General features: G+C 45.8%; 1 protein-coding gene and 1 pseudogene across 2 annotated transcripts in view; both read right to left on the reverse strand.

Annotated features, from left to right (window-relative positions):
- Positions 1 to 13426, reverse strand: part of MYO10 (myosin X) — a 274382-nt gene that overhangs the window by 238692 nt on the left and 22264 nt on the right. The gene's annotated exons all lie outside the window — the stretch shown is intronic.
- On the reverse strand, positions 1629 to 2068 carry RPS26P28 (ribosomal protein S26 pseudogene 28; annotated as a pseudogene).

Below are 13426 nucleotides of genomic sequence, written 5' to 3' on the forward strand. Positions count from 1 at the left end.
GATAGAGCAGCCAGGCCATCTGTTCTCACCACCTCCCAGGTCCAATTCCTCTCCCTAGTCCCCCAAACCCACCCCATCCCTCTTCATTCTATGCCAACTAGCAACCAGCATGATCCTCCCAAAAGTACACACCTCCCTAAATCTTGTTTTTTTTTTTTTGAGACAGAGTCTTGCTCTGTCGCCCAGGCTGGAGTGCAATGGTGCCACCTCGGCTCATTGCAACCTTCTCCTCGTGGGTTCAAACAATTCTCCTGCCTCAGCCTCCCGAGTAGCTGGGATTACAGGCACCCACCATCACACCTAGCTAATTTTTATATTTTTAGTAGAGACGAAGTTTCACCATGTTGGCCAGGCTGGTCTCAAACTCCTGACCTGAGGTGATTCACCCACCTCGGCCTCCCAAAGTGTTGGCATGAGCCACCACGCCTGGCCCCTTGCTTAAAATCTTTTTTATTCTAACAAAATTCCTCCGGAGCAGCCTGTAGACTGTGCATGATCTGGCTCCTGCCTGCCCCTCCAGCGTTGTCTCAGCCCCCCTCTCCCGAGACTCTTCTCAGCTCTCACCCAGGCTGAGCTCATTCTCACCCCAGCCTGTTGCTTTGCCAGCAACACCAATGCATCCTCTGGCTTCGGCATTCACATACATTACCTCCTCTCAGAGGCCCTCGCTGGCCTGCTGGGCGCCCCTCCTCCGTCAGTCAGCTTGCTGCATGTACCTTTGTCCCCAGGTGCCAGCCCTCCCTGCCAGACCACCCGTGCTGGTTCTACTCTCCATCCCAGCACACAAGGTGGTGCCCAGCAAAGAAGGCAGGAAGGAGGATTTCCAACAACCCAAGAACCTGGTGAACTTCAGTATAAACTCCACCCATCTGGAAACTTTGCCAGAAGAGCGTATTTGTCTCTTACCAGCCCTGCCCTATTAACAATGACCTTCACCTTTCGCGTCCAACTCACTTCCCCAAGCTTACCTCTACGGCATTTAAATAGGTGAGAAGACTCCTTTTACAGATTCTACAGTTCCCATTTATAGAAACCAATAATAAAAGTGATACCCACACCCTAAAAATACATCAAAATCCTAAATTACCTACTGACACCCGCCATCTTTTAGACTTCCCTACAATGAGTACCAGGCACCTGATTCACTCACAGCCTTGCCCTCTGTGCTACCCCAGTGCAGAGCGGCCTGTCGTTTTCTAGATGCAGAGAGGGCAATAGGAATTCCCATTCCCACCCCTAACTGCTTGGTTCCCTGGCACGTTCTAGAGCCAGACCATCATGAAGCCATATTTTCCACACAGAAATGAGTTCATTTAAAATGTCTGATTTTGAGAAGCTGTTTGCTTTTTCAGCCCAGGCTAAGGTACACAAAAGTATTTTCCAGAAGTCTAACACAGCGTTCTGCTTCTTTCATGCACCCCAAGTTATGTTCTTACCTTTTATTTTCTTTATTTTTTATTTTTTTAAATTTGTTTTGAGACAGATTTTCCAGGGTGGAATGCAGAGGCGCAATATGGGCTCACTGCAACCTCCACCTCTCAGATTCAAGTGATTCTCCTGCCTCAGCCTCCCAAGTAGTTGGGATTACAGGTGCCCACCACCAGGCCCGGCTAATTTTTTTTTTTTTAAAGTACAATTTCCATTTTATTTTTCTCCAGAGAATAGTCTGTCTTCAGTCTTTAAGAACTCAGCTCCTTACATGGGCTTTGGTAGGGGACATGGGGCAGCACCCGCAGTTCTAAATCAGGGTGGGGGTGTTCGGTCCTTGCGGGCTTCACGAGATCGATTCCTGACTACTTTGCTGAGAACTGCACAACTCAGACAGTAATGTAACTTCACATACAGCTTGGGAAGCACATAGGCATCGAAGACGCTCGCTTCAGACATGTCCCTGACTGCTGCGGCCTCCACTATGTTTCGAATGACGAATTTCTTGATGGCCTTGTCCTTGGGCACGCATCGGGCACAGTTAGTGCAGCGAATAGGCTGCACGTGGCCGCGGCCCTTTTTGGCACGACCATTGTTCCTTCTTTTCTTTGTCATCTTGGAAGCATGGACCGGAGAGAGGCCCGGCTAATTTTTTGTATTTTTAGTGGAGATGGGGTTTCAGTCAAGCTTGTCTCAAACTCCTGACCTCAGGTGATCCACCCGCCTTGGCGTCCCAAAGTGCCGGGATTACAGGCGTAAGCCACCGTGCCCAGGGCCATCTTTTAAGTAAATTCATTTCACCTGGAGAACAACCACCATCAAAAATTTCAAATGCATTTATTCATGCTACAAATATTTATTTAGCCCTCGTGGCTGACAAGGCACAGTGCCAGGCCCAGAAGGACATGGAATTCAATGGCAAGGACATGGGCTTCTGAATCCAGACCAGGCTCTGATCTCCCAATGCCTCGTAACCTTGGAGAATAATCCTAACAGCTGACACATTGACCATGTGCAGGCCTCTGTCCTAAACGCTTCACACGCACTAACTTGCTTAATTCTTAAAACACCCTGTGAGTGAGTAACTAATAACACTCCCTACCAGGCGCGATGGCTCACGCCTGTAATCCCAGCACTTGGGAGGCCAAGGCGGGCGGATCATGAGGTCAGGAGTTGAAGACCAGCCTGACCAACATGGTGAAACCCTGTCTCTACTAAAAATACATAAATTAGCTGGGCGTGGTAGCGCATGCCTGTAATCCTAGCAACTCGGGAGGCTGAGGCAGGAGAATCACTTGAACCTGGGAGGCGGAGGTTGCATGCAGCGAGCTGAGATCGTGCCATTGCACTCCAGCCTGGCGACAGAGCAAGACTCCATTTCAAAAATAATAATAATAATAATGCTCCCATCTTACAGACATGGGAAACGAGGCATGGAGCAGATAAAGAACTTGCCCACGGTCCCAGAGCTAACAGGTGGTAAACGGGTTCAGTTTTTCTCCTCTTTTTGAAATAGCTTTACTGATTGGCTTTCATAAGCCACTTTCCTATTAATATTTTACAAATGCAGATAATAAGCATCAGTCCACAAAGCAGCTAAGAGGTTAAATAAGGGAACAAATATTAGAAAATAGTCCAGCCTAGCACCTGGCATAGAGAACTGCTCAACAGCCTGAAAAAGGAATAGAAGCCAGCCTGCTCTCAAACAGTTTAATCAGAGAAAAACCTTGTAAATAACAGAAAGTGGCCATAATAAAGTGCAGAGAGGAATGACATAAGAAGTGCACATAAAATACAAAGGGAGATTATGGGCTTAGATGGGAGTGAGGACCTGCGTTCCATGAGCTGAAGTATTTGAAAATGACAGGCTGGGTTGTGGGGTATTGTGAAATACAGATTTGGTCAGCGTCATTGTCCTCTGACATCCAACTCTAAGATCCTTGCAATCTTCAAAGTGTAAGTGTCTTGTATGCCATGAGTTGACTGGTGGCTGGTAGCCCCTAGGTGGTTTCAGGATGGGGGCTGCTCACAGGAAAGACCAAGGCAGGGAAAGGAAAGGGGCTGAAGGTTGACCAGTAACCAGTGAAAGAAATCAGTCATGGTTGCGTCATAAAGCTTCTATAAAAACCCAAAAGGACAGAGCTTCCGGACAGCTGGACACATGGGGGTTTCTGGAGGGTGGCACACCTAGGGAGAGCACAGAAGCTCCCAGACCCTTCCCACACACCTAGCCCTATGCGCCTCTTCATCTAGTAGTCTGGGTAACCTTTGTGATATCCTTTACCACTAGCCAGTAAACGTAAGCCAGTGTTCCCTTGAGTTCTGTGAGCTGCTCCAGCAAATTAACTGAAACCCAGGAGAAGATCAAGGGAACCCTGATGTACAGGCTGCTGATCAGAAGCACAGGTGCAGCAACCTGCGGCTTGTGACTATCATCAAAAATGGGGAGCAGACTTACAGGACTGAGCCCTCAACCTGTGGGGTCTGACGCCGGGTAGACAGTGTCAGAACTGAACTGAATGAGGGGACGCCCAGCTGGTGTCTGCTGCAGAACTGATTGCTTGCCTGGTGTCTGGGGAACCCCTCACCCCACAACATCTGGTGTCAGCAGTGTGTTGTGAGGCTGGGCGCGGTGGCTCACGCCTGTAATCCCAGCACTTTGGGAGGCCGAGGCGGGCAGATCAAGAAGTCAGGAGATCGAGACCATCCTGGCTAACACGGTGAAACCCCGTCTCTACTAAAAATTCAAAAAATTAGCCGGGCGTGGTAGCGGGCACCTGCAGTCCCAGCTACTCGGGAGCCTGAGGCAAGAGAATGGCGTGAACCCAGGAGGCGGAGCTTGCAGTGAGCCGAGATCACACCACTGCACTCCAGGCTGGGCGACAGAGCAAGACTCCATCTCAAAAAAAAAGAAGTGTGTTGTGAAAGTTTAGTAGAAGAAACTCAGTTTACTTATTCCTCTACCTCCTCAGAGCTCAGATTGCTGAGTTTAATACTGGGACTAAATCACCCAAAGCACAAACTATATCAGAACAACCCAGTGCCTCTACTCAGTGAGTCTTGCATATGTAACACACCGAACATCAGGCAGCAAATCTCGCTTGATGCGGAGGGCACGCTGCATCCCTTGTTCTAGAGATGGTATGGCGAACTGTAAGCTACCCAGCACACAGGTGGCTTCCCAAGCTTCTGAAGGAAAGCACCTCCAAGAATGGACTCGGTATTCCACAAAGACTCAACCTCCCATCCTTGTCTGGGCTCATTCAGCAAAGCTCACTGTTACTAATATCTTCGGAGGACAACAATCTCCCTCACCGACCTTGAGCCCTTACTGTGTCTGAGTGTGCCCTTACACCCAGAGTCCACTGCTCTCAACAGAAGAGAGGGCAGGGGGACAGCTGGAGGGAAGGAGCAACAAAAGGAATATTCTCCCAACCCTAAGGCTAGTAGGTCTCCCTGCAATCAGAGCCACCTCCCTGACACTCACCCTCCCGTCCTGCAGGAACAGCCACCAGCCAGCCAGCCAGCCAGGGCAATGAGTCCATCTCAGACCTCCACTGACCGATGAGTGCTGCAAAACAAGAAAGTTCCATTCCAGAGTCTGCCAAAGAAAAAGATGGGTACCTTGGATGCAACTCACTTCCAAATACATGTTGTGGCTCTCAACGACCCAGTGACACCAAGCGATCTTCTTTTGTTTGCTTTAACAAATAAATTCCCTGCCACCAGTAAAAGTAAGAAATTTAACTCCTGATTGCAAAGATCAGGAGTGGGTGGGTAGCGTCTTCACACATGAACAATGTGTGTGTCAAGGGTGAGAACTTAAGGAGTTAGAGCAGCTTGTTAACAAGGTGACATCTGAGTAGGGACAACCACTCAGTAATTGCTAAGTCCAATTTCCTGTTCCCTATCTTCCATGGCAAGTTGAAAAAAAGAAAAAGAGAAAGAAAAGCACTCATAGATTAGAATGGATACATCCTCAACTGCAACACCTGTCAAATGCAACAGAGATTTCTTACACTTGGCATTTCCACAAAAAAAGTGACAACAGTGTCACACATACCCCATATCCCTTAACAGGCCTTGAAGGCAACTCCTGCCTGGCAGGACGGCTGCTATCCCAGTCCCCATGCCACTGGCAGACTTTAGGGTGCACCTGGTAGGTGCCAGGGGTAGGGTCCAGAATGGACCCCCCCATTCCTCAACACCACACCCTGGAATGAGGAGCCAATGGGGCGCTCCTAGGATGAAAAGAATTTGAGTCCTTCAGCTCGAGGGTCTAAAGCACTTTTCTCAGCAGCAACACCACTGACACTTGGGGCTGCATAACCATATCCTGAGGACGGTAGGAAGTTTAGCACCATTCCTGGCTTCTACTCCCTAGATAACCCTGCCCCTAGGTGTCACAAGCAAAAATAGCTCTAAATATTGCCAAATGTCCCCTGGAGGCAAAATCGCACTGTTGAGAAACCACCACTCTAGAGAGAAGAGAGCTACTGCTTCTTCAGGCCCAGGAACATCCCACCTGGAAACAACTTTAAATCATTAACTACCAAGGGCTGGATGTCAGAAGCCAGCATGGCCAAAACCACTTTAGCATCATCATCTCTCCAACTTCCTCCTTCTCTATGCCTATCTCGAAGGTCACTGCAATCACTAGGTTGGCCAAAAAGGACAGTCTCAACACTTTCATCCCCCACATCCAAGAAGTGCCAGAAGTTACCCTTCTGCAGTAATGTCTCCTGACCCATCCCCTTGCCTCTCAAGCCCCTTGGCTGATGTGGAGAAGAAAGAAAAGTATCTGGCCAGGCACGGTGGCTCACGCCTGTAATCCGAGCACTTTGGGAGGCCGAGGCGGGTGGATCACCTGAGGTCAGGAGATCGAGACCATCCTGGCTAACACGATGAAACCCCGTCTCTACTAAAAATACAAAAAAATTAGCCAGGCATGATGGCACACGCCTATAGTCCCAGCTACTCGGGAAGCTGAGGCAGGAGAATCACTTGAACCCGGAAGGTGGAGGTTGCAGTGAGCCAAGAACATGCCACTGCACTCCAGCCTGGGCGACAGAATGAGACTCCATCTCAAAAAAAAGAAAAGAAAGAAAGAAAGAAAAGCATCTATATTCAGGAACCCACAAGAACATCGCCATTTCTGGTAGCCACTTGAAACATTTTATATCCTGTTTCTTTACTTGCCTCTTTGTTAACTTTTATTTATTAAATGTTGGAGCCAGGATTCAAAACTGAAGTAATTCCAGGGCACACGCTCTTGTAATTATACTACACTGCCTCTCAAATGGGAGGCAGAGAATGAGCCAACAAAGGAAACCAAAAATAATGGTTTCAGCACAACAGACTCAGAAGACCCAAGGAGAAGGCATCCAACACTATGGAAAAGAATAAAAGTCCCCACTGATCACCAAGTCTGCTGATCAACAGGTCACGGGAGATTGCATTTCCCTTTAGAGTGATTTATTGAAAAAAAGAAAAAAAAGGTTACACAAAAGGACAATTTCATCCATCCTGAAATGAGCCCGGGCACTAACAATGTCCGAAAGGATTATGCAGACAATATTAAAAAATATTTTTCATTACAGGATTTACATAAGGAGACATATGCTTCCTCTTTAAGAAACTACCCACAGAATACACAACTCACTGTGGGAAAAGGGCAAGCAAAGTGTATTTATGGTTTGGTTTTTAAATGTAACTATCATAGAAAACATAAGAAATCTATGCTTTGGCATTTCCAGAGAGCAGCTGCTGAGAAGGCAATGAGGGTGGGTAAAGGATACATTCACATGGTTTCCTTTTTCTGAGCTTTCAACTTTACTGGAAAATGTAATATAAAAATTTATCTTTACCTCTCTTTTATTAAAAAAGCAAAACATTTGATGATCACTTAAAACTAAGGCAAACATGGCCAGGCTCGGTGGCTCACGCCTGTAATCCCAACACTTTGGGAGGCCAAGGCAGGTGGATCACTTGAGGTAAGGAGTTTGGGACCAGCCTGGCCAACATGGCAAAACCCTGTCTCTACTAAAAATACAAACATCAGCTGGGTGTGGTGGCATATGCCTCTAATTCCAGCTACTCGGGAGGCTGAGGCAGAGAATCCCTTGAACCCAGAGACAAAGGTTGCAGTGAGCCAAGATTGTGCCACTGCACTCCATCCAGCCTGGGTGACAGAGTGAGACTCTTGCTCAAAATATAATAGGCTGGGCACAGTGGCTCACACCTGTAATCCCAGCACTTTGGGAGGCCGAGGTGGATGGATCACTTGAGGTCAGGAGTTCGAGAGCAGCCTGGCCAATATGGTGAAACCTGGTCTCTACTAAAAATACAAAAATTAGCTGGGTGTGATGGCACACACCTGTAATCCCAGCTACTCAGGAGGCTGAGGCAGGAGAATCGCTTGAACCCAGGAGGTGAAGGTTACAGTGGGCTGAGATCATGCCACTGCACTCCAGCCAGCAAGACTCTGTCTCGAAAAAATGAAATAAAATAAAATAAATTTGTTAGGTAAACCAATTAAAAACAGAGGTACAAAGTGGAGCCTTTGGGAAATATGCCATGACACTAATAAAAACAGATCCAATCCAATCTCTTTAAATATGGGCCTTCTTGCCAATAGAAATCAACATAAATATTGAAACATACACATTATATATAGATAGATATAGATATGATAAGTATATAACCATATTTGTTACAATGCATTTTACACACATTTACTCATATAAAACAGAGCCAACACTGGAATATCGGAATGTACTGATGCATGCTACAACATAGATGAATCTTGAAGACATTATGCCCAGTGAAAGCAGCCAAACACAAAAGGTCACCTATTGTGTGACTACATTTACATGAAATATCCAGAACAGATAATTCCATAGAGACAGAAAGCAACTTGGAGGTTGTCAGGGGCTGGGAAGAAGGGAGAATAAGGAGTGACTGCTGAACAGGTGCTATGTCTTGGACATTGTATTAGTCCATTTTCATACTGCTATGAAGAAATACCTGAGACTGGGTAATTTATAAAGAAAAAGAGGTTTAATGGACTCACAGTTCCACATGGGTGGAGAGGCCTCACAATCACGGCAGAAGGTGAAGGAGGTGCAAAGGGCATGTCTTACATGGTGGCAGGTAAGAGGGCATGTCCAGGGGAACTGCCCTTTATAAAACCATCAAATTGGCCAGGTGCGGTGGCTCACGCCCGTAATCCCAGAACTTTGGGAGGCCGAGGTGGGCGGATCACGAGGTCAGGAGTTCGAGACCAGCCTGACCACATGGTGAAACCTTGCCTCTACTAAAAATACAAAAAATTAGCCAGCTGTGGTGGTGCACGCCTGTAATCCCAGAAATCAGGAGGCTGAGGCAGCAGAATCGCTTGAACCCAGGAGACGGAAGTTGCAGTGAGCTGAGATCACACCACTGCACTCCAGCCCAGCCAACAGAGCGAAACTCCAACTCAAAAAAAAAAAAAAAAAACCATCAGACCTTGTGAGACTTATTTACCATCACTATTGCGAGAATAGCACAGAAAAACCCTGCCCCCGTGATTCAATTACCTTCCACTGGGTCCCTCCAACGACACATGGGGATTATGGGAGCTACAATTCAAGATGAGATTTGGGTTGGGACACAGCCAAACCACATCAGACATGATTTGTTTAGCCCTACCAAGTCGCATGTTGACATCTGATCCCCAGTGATGGAGGCGGGCCTGGTGGGAAGTGTTCATGATCGTGGGGGCAGATCCCTCATGAATAGCTTGCAGGAACTCATTCTTACAGGGAAGAGTGAATTCTCACTCTTAGTTCCTATGAGAACTGGTTGTTGAAAAGAGCCTGGCACTCTCCCCTCTCTATTGCTTCCTCTCTCACCGTGTGATCTGCATACGGAGACTCCTCTTTGGCTTTTGCTCTGAGTGGAAGCTTCCTGAGGCCTCACCAGAAGCAGATACTGGTGCCATGCTTCTTATACAGCCGCAGAACCATGAGCCAAATAAACTTCTTTTTCTTATAAATTACTCAGCCTCAGGTATTCCTTTATAGCAACAAAAATGGACTAAGATAACAGGTATGGGTTTTATTTAGGGGTATTGAAATTGTTCTGAAACTAGAGGTGATAGTTTCACAACAATGTAGATGCACTGGCTGCTACTGAATTGTACATTTAGAAAAGGTTAATTTTGTTATATGAATCTCACCTTAAAAAATAAAATTTTTAAAAATCAGAGCTGAAAATCCTGAAACAATCCAGTTTGTCTTTGTTTTTGTTTCTTTTTTCCCTGTTTACATCCAGGAAATTTGAGTTGAGTCCAGAAAGACTGACTTGCCCAAGTTTGCACAGCTGACAAATGACCAGGTCAGAGATCCACCCAGGTCTTCTGCCCTTTATTCCATAGTGTGACATCTATAAAATGGGAATCATAATTTGTTCTTCATAGAGTTGGAAGGACCACGTGAAAATGATGTGAAAATACCTATAACAATGTCCTACACTAAAGGGGCTCTCAGATATTTTATTATAATTAGTAAAAACTAGTAATAGAAACTAAACTACCTAATGCTTTTTCAGTGCTCACTAGGCATCCATCACTCCTCTAAGCATTTTTAATGCATTCACCATTTCATTCCCTAGCGACCCTGCGGGATGGGTACAGTTAAGATTAAACCCATATTACAAAAGGGAGCCTGAGGCACAGCATGGGGGTGTGGCTTCCCCAAGGTCATATCCCCAGCAAGCATCAGAGCAGTGTTCAAACCCAGATACTGTGTTTCTAGAACCTTCCCATTTATGCTACACTCTGTCTGAGGTAGTCTATGGGGAAAGGGACTCAGTCATTAAACAAATGCCAGGTTTTATGAACAAGTATCTTAGTATGACATCTAGTCCTCCAAACCTCACAGCTCTTAAATAAAAAAAAAGACATTAAGTAAACGTTTAAAATAGAAAAATAAAAGCTTTTCTCCCCTTCAAGAGACAAGATTATCCAATTTCTACCCCTGCATGATCCATAAAGAATGGGCCAGGCCAAGAGGATCACTTGAGGCCAGGAGTGTGAGACCAGCCTGGGCAACATGGCAATACTCCATCTCTAAAACAAAATTTAACTTAATTTAAAAAGACTAACAGAGATCTATGAGGATCCATTCAGAAAATACATAAATCTAACCTAGATACCACCCTCTCAAAACTACTTCACAATAAATATTTTTTGGAAGCAAGCTAAAACTAACCTAAACCAACCCAAAGGAAAACATAAGCCATTCCATTCCCTTCCTTTGCTCCAAAGTTACACAGCAGCACTTCTTCACCATCTAAAACAAACTTGTCCAACCTGCAGCCAAGGACGGCTTTGAATGCAGCCCAACACAAATTTGTACATTTTCTTAAAACATTATGAGATTTCTGCTGGGCACTGGGCTCACACCTCTAATCCCAGCACCTCGGGAGGCTGAGGCGGGGGGATCCCTTGAGCTCAGGAGTTCAAGACTAGGCTGGCCAACATGCTGAAACCTCGTCTCTACAAAAAATACAAAAATTAGCTGGGTATTGTGGTGCACGCCTGTAGTCCCAGCTACTTGGGTAACTGAGGCAGGAGGATCGCTTGAACCTGGGAAATCAAGGTTGCAGTATGCCGAGATCGCACCACTGCACTCCATCCTGGGTAACTGAGTGAGATCCTGTCTTAGACCAACAACAACAACAAAAATTGGCCAGCCGCGGTGGCTCATGCCTGTAATCCCAGCAGTTTAGGAGGCCGAGGTGGGTGGATCACCTGAGGTCAGGAGTTCGAGACCAGCCTGGCCAACATGGTGAAACCCCATCTCTACTAAAAATACAAAAATTAGCCGGGTGTGGTGGTGGGCACCTGTAATCCCAGCTACTTGGGAGGCTGAGGCAGAATTGCTTTAACCTGGGAGGCGGAGGTTGCAGTGAGCCAAGATCATGCCATTGCACTTCAGCCTGGGCAACAAGAACGAAATTCCGTCTCCAAAAAAAAAAATTAGGTTGTTTGTTTGTTTGTTTGTTTTTAAGCTCATCAGTCGTCTTATTGTTAGTGTTAGTATATTTTATGTGTGGCTCAAGACAACTCTTCTTCCAATGTGGCCCAGGGAAGCCAAAAGATTGGACACCCTGATCTAAAGACTTTAAGCCACAGCCAAGTTTTGTTCGGCCCACTAGGTAAAAACCAAAACATTTTATGTTACTTGTCAACATTTTGCAAATTGCAACATTTCACAGAAATCTAGGTTTCTGATCTCTCTTTAACAACTAGAAGGCCTGGCAACACTGAGCCCTAATTCTTCCAGGTCAGTGAGCTCCGGTGAGCCACAGTCCCCACCACTCCCTATGGCACACGACCTAACTCAGTGCACGCACTTTCCTTACCTGAGGCCCCATATTTGTAGCCTTTGTACACCGTGCCTTACATAGTCTGGGTCTCAATACTGGTTTTGAAAAATGCATTATTTGGTACATAATGCCTCCATTCAGGGTAAGCTTTGGAAGGGAAGTTTCAGTTATTTAATGGGCTTGTCAAGCAGTGATTTTAATTAAACCTGGCTCTAATCAAAAGAAAAATGAGTATGTTTTTAGGCCAGCGTTGGATATAATATATTGAATCATACCTTAATTCTGACCAAATGGCAGACTAAAACCCTTTTAAACAGTCTGTATTTCAGCCACCCAAGTGGGTTGAGTATTCTGTTTATAGCTGCCAAGGGTACAACTTCCAGACTTCCTTCACCTACCACCCTGCACACACACACACACACACACACACACACACACACACACACACACACCATGGTACCTCCAAGATTGAATTTCAGCCTCCAGCAAGTCAGGCTTTTTCTCTTAGTTTGGGATGATTCCTAAGCTACAGGCATGCTTTCTGGCCACCTGCCAATTGAACACCAGAACGCAAGGATATTGTTTATTCCCAAAAAAAAAAAAAAAGCCAATTCTATCTTCCCTTTGGTTTTAGTAAAGTTCACCAAAAAAGGAGCTTACATTTCTCTCAGTGCCTCCCTTCTTTTGTGACTGACATCAAACACAAAAATAAACCATTTCTTTCTCCCCAGTTATAAAACAAACTCTTTTCTCACTTCCAAGATTAGGTTATAGAGGAAAAAAAAATCATGCTTGGCATTTAAAGGTGCTAAAAACTCAAAGACAAAGATACAAGCCACTGCCAAAATTCTCTTAACACTCCTGTCAGGTCATTTTAAAAAATCAAATCTTGAGTAATAGTCAAGTCTCCTCTAGCAATAAAGCACAGAGATGCATAGTTGGTAATGCTAGAAGGAATCCAAGCCTTTAGGGTATGAATTGCATATGAACATTTCAAACTACAATCTTCTGCTTCTCCTTGTATATACGTGTATGGCTGTCTAAAGCTCAAGACTGAATGATTAATTTTGGTTTTCACCCTGGTATCGCAGAATTTCCTTCTTCTCAAGTTTGTGAATGAAGTCACTTTTGCAAAACTGCATCTGCCACTGTGGAGGTGGCCAGTGCCCAGAGTGCCAGGGAAGGCTGGCAGTGGAAGACAGGCTACTGACCTGCCTGCTTACAGAAACACAGCCAACCCCAGGCAGTGGACAAAGCAAGCGTAGGTGTGCAATGTGGGGTTTGGGTGTGGCTAGGAGCCTGCAACATCTTGAGTCAGAACAAGAGAGACAAGTGAGAACCAGGATACGTAAGTATGAGCTGAAGTTCAGAAATAAGGCCAGCAAAATTCTGAGCTCCAAGAACAACAGGCCAGGCAAAGACTAGACCACCATGTGGCAAGAGAGGGAGGAGGTTAGGATACAGTTGCTCGAGACAAAAAGACAAGAAGGAGAGGGAGCCAAGAGGCACCAGGAGGAGGAATGACCTGGATCACGTGGGATACTACACTCAGCCCCTTTTATGGGATTTCAGTTAAGACAAGAAACAATACAACACAGCTAACCTGGGCTCCTCCCTGGAAACACAC

The sequence above is a fragment of the Homo sapiens genome, chromosome 5 (assembly GCF_000001405.40).
Source record: "Homo sapiens chromosome 5, GRCh38.p14 Primary Assembly".
In the NCBI taxonomy this organism is placed as follows: Eukaryota; Metazoa; Chordata; class Mammalia; order Primates; family Hominidae; genus Homo; species Homo sapiens.